The 13528-nt window shown below is 49.8% G+C and overlaps 2 annotated features.

The window, feature by feature from the left end:
• Positions 8175 to 8674: an enhancer, noted in NCBI's record as "H3K4me1 hESC enhancer chrX:39808059-39808558 (GRCh37/hg19 assembly coordinates)". NCBI's record gives its function as "activates a minimal SCP1, AML or CMV promoter by ChIP-STARR-seq in primed H9 embryonic stem cells {active_cell/tissue: H9 hESC(primed)}" and the evidence as "EXISTENCE:reporter gene assay evidence [ECO:0000049][PMID:30033119]".
• Positions 13300 to 13528: a silencer, noted in NCBI's record as "fragment chrX:39813184-39813412 (GRCh37/hg19 assembly coordinates)". NCBI's record gives its function as "represses an EF-1alpha promoter that drives an FKBP-Casp9 reporter gene in an ReSE screen in HepG2 liver carcinoma cells {active_cell/tissue: HepG2}" and the evidence as "EXISTENCE:reporter gene assay evidence [ECO:0000049][PMID:32094911]".

Here is a 13528-nt window from a genome sequence, read left to right on the forward strand (position 1 = left end):
ACCATAAGATTTCATCCCAGGTTTTTATAGTTTTTTATAATGTTTAGATTTTTAATCTACCTGGTATTTATTTTTCTGTAGACTGTGAGATTATGTTCTAATTTTATGCTAGCACTGATTACAATTTTTTTAAAGAAGCTATTTAAAAAGAAAGAAAGGAGCTGGACGCAGTGGCTGACGCCTGTAATCTCAGCACTTTGGGAGGCCAAGGAGGGCAGATTGAAGTCAGGAGTTCGAGACCAGCCTGGCTGACATGATGAAAACCACTTCTACTAAAAATACAAAAATTAGCCCAGCATGGTGGCAGGCGCCTGTAATCCCAACTACTTGGGAAGCTGAGACAGCAGAATCTCTTAAACCCAGGAGGCGGAGGTTGCAGTGAGCCGAGATCACACCACTGCACTCTAGCCTGGGTGACACAGCGAGACTCCGTCTTAAAAAAAAAAAAAAAAAGAAAAGAAAAGAAAGGAGCTGGATGTGGTGGCTCATGCCTGTAATCTCAGCACTTTGGGAGGCCGAGGCGGGAGGATTGCTTGAGGCCAGGAATTGAAGACCAGCCTGGGCAACATAGCAAGAAACAGGTTTCTGCAAAAAAGAAAGATAAAAAGAAAGAAAGACCCTCTACATAGACACACACACACACACCAGCTGCATGTGTGAAGCAAACAGCCATCTTAGTACCTGGGGGGAAAAGCACAGGGTGAACCTGGGTGTGATGCCCAGGTCAAGAGGCCTGGGGCCCCCTAGTCAGTGCTGTGCCAGGAGGTTCCTGCAGGCTGGGTCAGTGCCCTCAAACCAGGTGTCAGCTGGAAAAGGGGGAATCTGACCATCTTTCTGGCCCAGGCTTCCACCTCCTTGCGCAGCAGGCAGGAGTCAGTCAATCATGAACGTACCCCTGGCAACTCACACTGCCAGGCAGGGGGACCCCACAGCTAGACTTGGGCTTGGCAGGGGACCTGTCCACAGACCCAGCATTCCAGGCCACAGACTGAGAGGGAAGGTAAACCCAGACACCAGGAATGCAGTCTGCTCCTGCAAAATGCTGCTGCAGGCCGCCCAGATCCCCATCATAAAAGCTTAACATAATTATGCAGGAACAAGCGACTTCCGGTCTGAGTCAAGACGAAGGCATTCTAATAAGGCCAGGCCCCCCACTGGAAGACTAACTTGGCTTCCAGATCTTCCTCCCCCACCTAGCCCACCCAAAGCCTACAGGGGGCCCAGGACTGATCTCCAAAACAAAAGTCCCACCCACAGCAGAGCTGAGGGGCTGTGGACAGCCTGAGCACCACCCAGACAGTGTGGCCCATTTATCACCCACCATTTATGGGGCTTGCCATGGGCCCTGACCTTGTCTTCAAAAAGCCTCCAAGCCAGTGATCATATGCATGAATAGTTAGGGAAGGAAGGTGAAGGGCAGCCTAATGCAGCCTTGGGAGGGCCAGGAAAGTTCTAGAGTTTACTAGTGGGGGAGTAAGAAAGGTGTGCCTAGCAGGAGATACAATGGGTACAAAGCAATGGTGGATCAGGGAGGCCAAAGTGAATGAGCCCAGTGAAAAGGTGCAGAGGGGCTGGGGAGGGGAGCAGGCACAGTGCAGGCTCCCTGGGTCTGTTGGCATCACCAGCCTCAGAGGGAGGGACCAGAACTGAGACAGACACTGCCTCTCTTGTGATCATCTCCTTTTCAGCTCATCCTCCCCATTCCACCCCCAAAAAACCACTCCGTCCCCTGAGATAGGCCCGGTGTAGAGTGCCCTGCATAACAGGTCATAGCCTGTGGACAGTTCTTCCCCAAAACCTGCCTGAAGACTCTAAAGGTTTCTCCTCTGCATGCCAGTCCCCATGTTCTGCTCTGGTGACACCGCAGTGAACGGAACAGGCTTGGCCCCCACGCTGGTGGAGCTTACATTATGGCGTTGGAGACAGAAACTCAACAACTAAACATGCAAAAGCACCTACAATTAGAAGCTATGGAAAGTATGAAGGGGAATAGTCATGAAAACAATGGAGGAATAGAACGGGGACCTGCTTCAGATGGCAGGCTATAGCGACATTTCAGCCAGGAGCTACAGCTAGCCAGGGGGAGAAAAGGGAGAATAGCAGATGCAGAGTGGCAGAGGAAGGGAAAAGTTTGGAGCTTTGAGGAGACCAAAAAGCCAGAGTAGCAGGGGCAAGAGAGCAAGGAGGAAGGGACATGTGGCAAGGGGTGTCTTCTAAAGCACGCTGTTCCACAATGTGACTTTGGCATTCTTCCTCCAATGAAGAGTTGGGGTCTATGTCCCCTTCCCTTGAATCCAGGTGGAAGAGACACCATGTGACTCTTTTTTTTTTTTTTTTTTTTTTGAGACAGAGTCTTGCTCTGTCACCCAGGCTGGAGTGCAGTGGCACAATCTTGGCTCACTGCAACTTCCGCATCCCAGGTTCAAGAGATTCTCCTGCCTCAGCCTCCCCGAGTAGCTGGGATTATAGGCATGTGCCACCATGCCTGGCTAATTTTTGTATTTTTAGTAGAGACGGGGTTTCAACATGTTGGCCAAGCTGGTCTCGAACTCCTGACCTCAGGTGATCTGGCCACCTCAGCCTCTCAAAGTGCTGGGATTACAGGTGTGAGCCATTGTACCTGGCCGACTTTCAAAGCTAGGTCAGAAAGGAAAATCAGCTTGGACCTTTTTTGCTGGAACATAGGTGCTTGGGTCCCTGGGCCACCACTAAAGAAGTATAACTGCTCTGAAGCTGCCATGCTGTGAGGAAGCCCAACACACACGGAGAGGTCAGCGTAGGTGCTCTAATCAGCAGTCCTAGTCTTCAAGTCATCCCATGCCAGGTTCCTGCCGTGTGAGTGCACAAGCCTTTGGATGGCCCCAGCCCCCAGCCTTCGAGGCTTCCAGCTGAGGCCCTGGACATCAGGGAGCAGGGATAAGCTGTTCCCATGATGCCCTGTGCAAATCCCTGGCCCATAAAATCTGTGAGCATAAGAAAATGGTGGTGGTTTTATGCTGCTAAGTTTGGGGTGCTTTGCTCTACAGCAGCTGTAACTGGAAGAAGGCTGACGATGTAATTGAAGAGACAGGGAGGACTTAGAGCACCTAGATTTTATGGGCCACGTGGGCATACTGTGCACATGCACTCGGGAGTCACTGAAGGGCAGTGGGCAGGAGAGTGGATGATCAGATTTGCCTTTGCTTATCAGTTTTTTGAGGTCTCTCATGCTGCACTGTGGAGAATGGATTGGAGGAGTGAATGTGGGCGACCCAGTGACTGGCTGATACAGTGGTCCTGGAGAGAGAGGCAGGCGACTGGATGAGGAAGGGACAATGGCCATGGTGATAAGTGGATGGACTTGAGAGACTTGCTGCAGGTAAGATGGTCAGGGATTAGAGCTGAGTTGAATGAGGTATCAAGGATGGCCCCCAGGTTTCTAGAAGGAGACACTGGAGGGCTGGAGAAGCCATTGACTATGGTGGGAAACACTAGAGAAGTAGGTTAGGGCTGGGGGTGTGGAGATCAGGTGTTCCACTTTGGACACGTGGGGTTTGTGACACCAGTGAAACCACCACATGGGATGTCAATAGGCAGATAGGCTGTGGTATTTGGAATTCTGGGAAGAGGTCTGGTCTCCAGTTATTAGTAAATGGGCAGCATTTTAAAAGCCATGACAAAGCCTGGGCAACATAGGGAGACTCCATCACTACAGAAAAATCAAAAAATTAGTTAGGTGTGGTGGCACATGCCTGTGGTCCCAGCTACTCAGGAGGCTGAGGGGGGAGGATCACAGGAGCTCAAGAGGTCGAGGCTGCAGTGAGCTGTGATTGCACCACTGTACTCCAGCCTGGGCAACAGAGCCAGGACCCTGCCTCAAAAATAAACAAATAAATAGTCATGAGGGGAAATGAGATCACAGGGAGAGAGAGGCCAAGATAGGAACACAAGGGCCCAAAGACTGAGACCTACAATGGACCAACTCATAGTGGTCAGCCAAGGAGGAAGTCAAGGAAGAGAGACAAAGAGGGAGCCTCCAAGGCCCCTGAGGGAAACCCAGACACAGTGGTGTCCTGGAAGCCAAGCCAAGAGACAGTTTCAAAATGAAAAGAGTCGTCATAGGCACTCTACTGACATTCCGTACATGGGACCTTTCACATAGAAACGCAGATTATCAGCCAGGCGCGGTGGCTCATGCCTCTTATGCCACCACTTTGGGAGGCCGAGGCAGGCGGATCACCTGAGATCAGGAGTTCGAGACCAGCCTGGCCAACATAGTGAAACCCCGTCTCTATTAAAAATACAAAAATTAGCCGGGCATGATGGCACACGTAGTCCCAGCTACTTGGAAGGCTGGGGCAGGACAATCACTTGAACCCGGGAGGCGGAGGTTGCAGTGAGCCCAGATCATGCCACTGCACAGCCTGGGTGACAGAGCAAGACTCCATCTCAAAAAAAAAGAAAAGAAAAGAAACGCAGACTATCCGTCAGTTCACTGATTATGAAGTCATCCTTGCCGTGGGGTTATTCTGGGTCACAGAAGGAGCTGCTCTGGATTCAAAGTCAACGGCCGGGCACAGTGGCTCACACCTGTAATCCCAGCACCTTGGGAGGCCGAGATGGGCAGATCACCTGAGGTCAGGAGGTCGAGACCAGCGTTGCCAACATGGTAAAACCCCTTCTCTACTGAAAATACAAAAATTAGCCAGGCTTGGTGGTGCATGCCTGTGATCCCAGCTACTCAGGAGGCTGAGGCAGGAGAATCACTTGAACCTGGGAGGCAGAGGTTGCAGTGAACCAAGATGGCGCCATTGCACTCCAGCCTGGGCAACAGAGCAAGACTCCATCTCAAAAAAAAAAAAAATTCAACAGCAAGTAAAGGAGGCCATTTCCCACTCAGGGCCCCCATGAGACACCTTCTTGAGGACTAGGAGCCCAACTTCAAGAAGCTTGTGGTCTAACTGAATAAACAAGGCCATGCAGTAAATGACAATAGCCACCTGGGTCAGGGATTGATCTGTTCTGCCTTCTTCCTCAGTTGGATTACTCCCAAATTTTACCTGCGTATATAGCCACCTTGAACAAAGACTACATTTGCCAGGCTCCTTTGCAGTTAGGTATGGTCCAAATTCTGGTCACTGGGTTGTAAAAGGAGTGTACTATCCCAGGAGTGTACTATCACTCCTGGGAAGTGAGGAGCACAACAGAGGGCTTATGAGCTCAGACACTGGCATGAGACTGTCTGAATTCAAATCTTGGCTCAAACACTTCCTAGCTGTGTGATCTGCCCAAGTTACTTAACCTCTCTGTGCCTTCCTTTCCTCATTTGTAAAATGGGGCTAATAATAGTAGCTACTTCATAGAGTTACATGAGAATTAAGTGCACTTGGTTTTTCTTTGGTTTTGGGGGGGTTTTTGCAGGGGGGTTGTTTGGTTTGTTTTTGTTTTTTGGGTTTTTTTTTTTTTTTTTTTTTGCAGGGAGGGGTTGTTTTGTTTTGCTTTTGAGACAGGATTTCACTCTGTCACCCAGGCTGCAGTGCAGTGGCACAATCATAGTTCACTGCAGCCTCCAACTCCTGGGATCAAGCAATCCTCCCACCTCAACCTCCTGAGTAGCTGAGACTATAGGCACATACCACCACACCTAGTGAATTTGTTTAAATTTTGTGTAGAAATGGGGTCTCACTATGTTGCCCAGACTGGTCATGAACTCCTGGCCTCAAGTGATCCTCCGGCCTCAGCTTCCCAAAGTGCTGGGATTACAGCCACCGCACTTAGCCCAAGTGTACTTGAAACAGCAATTGGCACACAGTAAATGATGCATAGGGATTTGCTGCTATCATTATTATTATTATTATTATTATTATTATTATTACTAACCCTGAAAGGAGGCAGCACCTCCTCCTTCCCTTTCCTCCTTCTCATGGCCTGGAGTGAAGTCATGATGGCTGGATCTGCAGCAGGCCTCTTGGTCCATGAAGTGATACTGGGAACCAAGGCTACACACGGCAGGCTGGGCTAGCCAGACAACTCTTGGAGAAGTGGAAAAGAGAAGAGGAGCTCCTAAGATCAGCAGGTCAAAAGCAGAGAGAGAACTAGATCACGCTCATCAACACAATCCCAGCTCAGAGTCTCAGCTGCTCAAAAAGGGAGGTAGCTTCCACCCAAGAGTAATGGCAGAACAGAAAGGGAGAGCCACTCGGTTCAGTCTCTGGAGATTCTTAATTCAATGTCAGGAGGAGTGCAGGCTTGAGCAGGGAGTAGGGAGCCACTGAAGGTTTGTCAGCAGAGGAGTGACAGAACAAGAGCAGACCCTGGGATCCGGGCTGACGGCAGCGAGCTGGTGAATCAGAGGAAAGGAAACCCTGCATGGGGCAGCTGTCAGGGGCCACCACAGGAATCCAGGAAGGAAAGGAAAGGCTTCTCTGTGGTGGAAGAGTCACCAGACCTCAGTGACTTTTCTCTTCTGCCACCATAGGCATGTTTGTAATCATAACTTATTATTTCCAAGCCCCACCCCATATCTGGGACTGCTCTAGGCTCCTCCTGCATCTTAAGAAGTCAGCAAAGCTTCCAACCCAAGGTGGCTGGCCCCGGCAGCTTGGAATAGACAAGGAATCCGATGCCATGGCTGCATCAACCTCCTGAGCCGGGGTTTGGCAGAATTGGCAGATGGGCCTCCCGGTGTTGGGAGTGAAGGTGCCTGCCTCCTGGGTTATGGATAGGGGCAAAACTGGATCTGCATGTCACTGGCTTTGTATCCCCTGCAGGGCCTTAATTTTCAGCCCATTGATGGTGAGGAACGGAATGAAACAAAATCTCAACAAAAAACTGGAGGAAGACTATTGTGACACACAGCACAACTCACACTCACAGAGATGACGTGGGGTGAAAGGAGCTAGACCCAAGGACAGGGGCAGTGGCTCACGCCTGTAATCCCAGCACTTTAGAGAGCCAAGATGGGAGGAGAGCTTGAGGCCAGGAGTTTCAGACCAGCCTGGACAATAAAGCAAGATCCTCTCTACAAAAAAATTTTCAAATTAGCTGGGCATGGTGGCATATGCCCATAGTTTCAGTTACACAGGAGGCAGAGGTGGGAGGATCACTTGAGCTCAGGAAGTAAAGGCTGTGGTGAGCCGTGATTGTACCACTGCACTCCAGCCTGGGTAACAGAGCAAGACCCTGTCTCTGAAAAAAAAAAAAAGAAGCCAGACACAGAAGCAAACAGTGCTGGATGATTCCATTTTACAGTGAAAAAGCTGGCACTCAATCTATGGTGATACAGGTCTATGGTGATAGAGGAATAGTGGTTGCCTCTGTGGGTGGGAGTACTAACAGGAAAGGGCACCAGGGAACCTTCTGGAATGATGGGGAAGTTCTCTGATATGATTTTTATCAGAGGTATAGACATACATAAAAATTTATTGGCCGGGCGCAGTGGTTCATGCCTGTAATCCCAACACTTTGGGAAGCCAAGGCGGGCGGATCATCTGAGGTCAGAAGTTCGAGACCAGCCTGGCCAACACGGTCAAACCCCATCTCTACTAAAAATACAAAAATTAGCCAGGCATGGTGGCGGGCACCTGTAATCCCAACTACTAGGGAGGCTGAGGCAGGAGTATCGCTGGAACCCGGGAGACGGAGGTTGCAGTGAGCCCAGATCGCACCACTGCACTCCAGCCTGGGCGACCAAGTGAGACTCCGTCTCAAACAAACAAAAAATATTTTTATCAAGCTGCACATTTAGTGCACTGGAAGCTGATCTTTATATCTCAAGGAAAAAGAAAAAATACAGAAAAAAGGCTCATTAGGGGTACCACAAAAGGTTTATCAGGGGTACCACTGCCCCCTTCCCCTTACAGTGGCACACGCCCTTAGAGTGGGAAGGGGGCAGTGGTACCCCTGATAAACCTTTTCTTTTTTCTCAAAGTCCTGTGCAGAAGCTACAGACACTCTGCCAAGCTCTGCCAGGCCCCTCTCCTGCAGTCCCTCTATTAGCGTAGCTCTCCTTGGGTGAAATGCAATTAGGAGAAAACAATGTCTGTGGCCCAGATGCCACTGCGGAAGTGACCAGGAAGAAGGGGAGGGGGATCAGGGAGGACCCACTGGGAGTCTCCGGGAGCTGCCGGGGAAGAGAGAAAGCAGACGCGAGGCTGAGCTGTGCCAGCCAACTATTCCCCCACCCACAGATGCAACTCTTTGCTGGGGCCCAGGGAGAACCGTCACTGAGCCTAGGAGCTCAAGGCCTTGCAGGGGGAGACGAAGTGGAAGCCACACTGTCACAGGCTCTCCAGCCTCTCTGCTGAGGTGGCGACACAGGAAGTGTTTAAACATAACTAAACGGGAGTAGCGAAAGGAAGGAGCAGTAACAAAGGCAGAGGGAAAGGCAAACAAGACCAACGGCTGGAAACCAGGCATGTCTCCGGCTGTAATCTGAAGTGCTCCTGTCTCCTGTCTGTACAAAGATGCTTCTGGAGCCTGGGCGCATGGGAGGATGCAGGTACCCCACCAAGCACCAAACTGAAGCAACCCCAAATTGCCCAAATGCTCCAACCCCATTTGTCCCACCAACATCCACTGCAAAAATGGCTGCTGCATTTTCGTGGAGCCTCAGACCCCTGATATTCCTGCTTGTCTTAAACCCATGTCCAATATGGGAGATATTGAACTCACTAAATTGCTGAGGCCGAATCGTGCCATTTCAGTCTTTCCAATTAATATAGATATCTCCAGATCAGTCAGCTCCAGAAAAATCAAAATTCGATATTGACATCCTAGAAGGGCTCCCTCCAAAGCAGACCCTGATATAAGGATTTGAGTACAGGCTGACTCAGTCCTTCTGGGGACTTTCAGAGAGACTGTGTAGAGCATGCCACTAGATTGTCCCCGGAGGCAATGGAGCCAGGGTAGGTATCCATTCACCTCCATTCTTCATTAGAAGAGGGTCGTTCCTGAGACATTAATTCCCTGGCATTTTAGAATTGCCTAGCTCAGCCCACCCCAGCCCCACCATATGCAGGCTAAGCATGGTCCCGGAGCCAGAGAACGCCTCAGGCAGAGCAATGCAGGAAGCCACTGGCCTGTAAGCGAACAGCCTGCCATGACCCCCAGCATGGGCCAGCAGGGCACCATCAGTTCCTGCCACGCTTGGTCACCATATACAGGAGCTACGCTCTGCTGCTCCAAGATGCTAAAGGCAACTCCCAAGTTTGCCCACTGTATTGCAAGAAACACAAAGCCAAGTCAAATTAGCTGAGACCAAAGCGGGAAAAAAAGGACAAAAAGAAGTGGGATAGGATTTTACTGACTCTTGTAACCAAGGAGTCAAGGGAGAGGAATGGCTTCAGGTATAGCTGGATTCAGAGGCTCAAGTGGATCCAGAGCTCTGCCTTCCTCCATGGCTTGGCTCTATCTGACTCTGTAGACAGGCAGACCTGCCAACCCAGGTAGCACCAGATTCACATCCTCCCAGCTTAGCAGTCCCAGCACAAAAAAAGAGCCTCCCTCCCTATTGACTGTGGCAGAGATACTCTGAGGAAGATTTTGACTGGCCTGTCTAGAATCACATGCTCATCCCTTAACCAATCACTGCTATCAGGGAAATAGGACAATTTGATTGGCCAGGCCAGAGACACATGCTGCATTCCTGTGGCTACAGGAGGATGAGGCACTATGACACCCCCTCTGGCTACAAGGAATGGGAAAGAGGTCCTTTCAAGAAGAAAAAGGGCCCCACAGATTAGTGACTTGCTAAAAGCCATGGGGTTATTCAGAAGCAAAACCCAAACCTTGACCTAGCTGCTTTATTCCCAGAGACAGCCTGTTATCAATCAAGAAACACAGGCTTGCTGCCTCAACAACCAGGCTGCAAATCTAGCTGGGTATTCTTGAGCAAAGGTCTTAACCTTTCCGAGCCTCAGTGTTCTCATCTATAAAATGGGACTATTAATACCTTCCCACAGGGTGGTTGAGATGCTTACATGACATAACCAGTAGAAAATGCTTGGTGTGTATGCCCACGGCATTGCTGCCGTACTCCAAAACCACACATCTTCTCATCTTCTTTTTCAAGCTTCCAACATCATCATAAGCCAGGAATAAAGGAAAGACATCAGTGAAGTCCTTGAAACATTTTTTTTTCTTTTTCTTTTTTTTTTTGGTACAGACAGGGTTTTGCCATATTAGCCAGACTAGTCTCAAACTCCTGGCCTCAAGTGATCCACCGTTCTCGGCCTCCCACAGTGCTGTGATTACAGGCATGAGCCACCACACCTAGCCCTGGAAACTTTCAAATGACATCTTAAAGGACAAGGAGAAGGTTATCTATTACTTCATAATAAATTAGCTCAAATTTATGCAGCTTAAAATCACGCACGCTATTATCTCACAGATTCTGTGGGTCAGGAATCTGGGAGTAGCTAGGCTCAGTTGTTCTGACCTAAGATCTCTCATGAGGTTTCAGCCAAGGTGTGGGCTAGGGCTGCAGTCATCTGAAGGCTCAATTGGGGCTGCATAATCTGCTTCCAAGATGGCTCCCTCATGTGGCTGTTGTCAGGAGGCCTCAGTCTTCACCATGTGGGGTTCCCCATAGGCCGCTTGAGTACCCTCACCACATGGCCGCTGGCTTCCCTCCTGAGAGGAAGAGTATCAAAAAACATATGGATGTATCTTTCAAAGCACCACAGTGTCTAGTGCAGGGCAGAGTTGTCCACCAGCTGTTTCCCCCTTTCCTCACACCTGTCCAGCTGGGCTCCCCCACCCTTCTCTCCCCTTGCATGGGACATATTATCAAGGACAGCAAGTTTCAGAAGCAGAACGTGGCTTTTCTCAAAAGCAACCATATAGGTCATGCAGAAGAAATGGGCAGAGCAGAGTAGCCTTGGGATGTGGGCAGAGTTCAGGGATGAGGGAGCCTGAGCTGTTATTACTACTATGCCTCTAAGGGCCCAGGGCGTGTTGTGACAGCATTTTCTGCACTGCCCATCTGGGCATCCTCTGTACTCCCACAGTGGTGCCCTCACAGGAGTGAGGCTGTTACACAAGCCCAGTGGCTATGGTGGGCCCTGCCAGGGGCTGGGCTCAAACTGAACGGTTTCCATTGCCAAAGGAAGTTCCCACAGGGATGTCAGCTCAAAATGGGAGAGCACGGTTCTGGGGGTTCTCAAGGGTAGGCACCTGGGCAGAATACTGGGCCAGTAGGCCCACACCATTCTCTCTTCCTGCACTTCTGGAAAAGAGATGGCCATGAGAATGTCAGCCTCCAGTCAATCAGACTTGGCCAATTCCCACTTCGGCCACAGCATATGCCCATCTGAGCAAAAGCTGACAGATCAAGTATTTCCACATATCCTACAATTGAACCAAAATAATTACTAGCTCTCATGGAGCCTTTTCTAGGGGCCAGGGGCCAGACACTCCAGTGCATCTTCTTATTTTAATCCTCACAAACACTCTCTAAGAAAGGAGCTGGTACCAGCCCCATTTTACAGAGGAAGAAACTGAGGCTCACAAAGGTGGAGTAACTCACCCCAAGTCACACAGTTAGTAAGCAGCAGAGCCAGGCCTTCAACCCCAGCCGTGTTCCTTGCACTAAAGCACTTCTATGTTATACTGCATTTAGCATATTATTTAGGGCAAGGTTGGTTTCTTTCTTTCTTTCTTTCTTTCTTTTTTTTTGAGATGGAGTCTCGCTCTATGGCCCAGGCTGGAGTGCAATGGTGCAATCTCGGCTCACTGCAACCTCCACCTCCCAGGTTCAAGCGATTCTCCTGCCTCAGCCTCCTGAACAGCTGGGACTAGGGGCACCTGCCACCGTGCCCAGCTAATTTTTGTATTTTTAGTAGAGACAGGGTTTCACCATATTGGCCAGGCTGGTCTCGAACTCCTGACCTTGTGATTCGCCTGCCTCGGCCTCCCAAAGTGCTGGGATTACAGGTGTGAGCAACAGCAACCAGCCTGGGGCAGGGTTTCTTAATCTTTGTCACCAAAAGGCGTTAACAGCCTTCTAAGGGTGTCAAGGTAGAGTCCAAAGTGGCACCTCAGCAGGCTGGGCACGTCTTGATGTACCATGTTTGGCATCGCTGTTCATGTCCATCTACATTCTATTCCATCAGAGGGCCCTGTGCTTGTTTGAATAGAAGAGCGACATTGACAATCACTTCAAATCCAATACAATTGATCCTCCAGGAAGCGCTGCCACCTTTACCCTGTAGTTTCAAGTGCCCTAACATCCCTGAAGAGACTGCAGAGTACAGGGACCCAGTCTAAAATCACAGAAGGCTGCCCCTACAGTCCTGTCCATTGCTGTTACGCTTCCTTCTCTGTTGTCACCCTTATCCCTGGGGGATTCCCAGCAGCTCTAAACTGAGGCAAGAAAGAGGGAGTGAGGGTTGGGGTGGGAGAACCACTCCTCTCACCTTGCTGCTTCATTCACAGCTCCCTCCTCCTCTTCCACCACCCCCACCCCCACAACCCCACTGCAGCCCAGAACAGAACTTGGCACATTCTAAAACTGAGTGGTTGCAGCTGCCACAGACGCCTGAGAGGAAGGGGTTAAAAACATCTTTCATCTCTCAGCAGTGCCTTTATATAGTCCATGTGTGACTCTGAATGGTTATGGCTTTATATATAGTGTGCTCTGTGTGGAGACAGAAAACACTGTAGTTAAGGGAACAAAGGCGGTTCTAGTCTAATGACCTGCTCTTATTTGTGGGGACCTCATCTCTAAAGGGCGGCCTTCAGGTGACATCTGCCATGTTGAGTGTATGCCTGAAGAATCACACCAATAAACACTGGAGATGCAAATACAAGAGAGGTAAGAACGTGCACAAATAAACTAAGGCCACTCATCCTGTTTATTGTTTCTAGAAAAAAGAAAGCACACGTTTCCCTTTGGATGTTTTCACACATAGCCAAACCTTAAAATGTCAACTTCTGCAAGGTATTTGACCTAAAAATAGTAAAATTTCTGTGTCATTTAAAAAGCCATTTAAAATGACAGACTTAAGCCTGATTTTTCAAACATACATCTGGAATGACAAACCGAAGTTGCATTATTTAGGGGCAGAGTCTTTGAAAGCAGCTGCTAGGCCTTCATTTTACTAAAATCTGCCTGTTCCTGTGGTTTCTCGTAGGTGACATCTGCTTGGATTTTTTGGACGACAGGTCTCTTCTTTGTCCCTTGGTGATTAAGAGAAACAGGAAAGAAAGAAGGAATAGCTCGGGGGAGGTGGAAGGAGCTGGCAGTAACATGATGGGAAACCACGCACCTTTGCATCTTAGATGATAGCCAGCCTCTGCTCCCTCTGGGGCACTAAAGGGCTCAGACCTACATTTACACACTGCTGCACTCAAAAGGAGCAAAGCCAGGAGTTCCAATCGAACCAACCTCGCTTGGCCAGAGAACGTCACATGCACCCTGGCAGGCAGGCAGGCAGGCCGCCAGAAGCTCGCGGTTTGTTTAGACAGCACAGGTCACTCCTGTCCACACCCAAGGCTGACGCGGCTTTATAAACACTGAGCACAGAGTGCGGTCTGTGCAGCAGCCCCA

Source organism: Homo sapiens, chromosome X, assembly GCF_000001405.40.
Source record: "Homo sapiens chromosome X, GRCh38.p14 Primary Assembly".
NCBI lineage: Eukaryota > Metazoa > Chordata > Mammalia > Primates > Hominidae > Homo > Homo sapiens.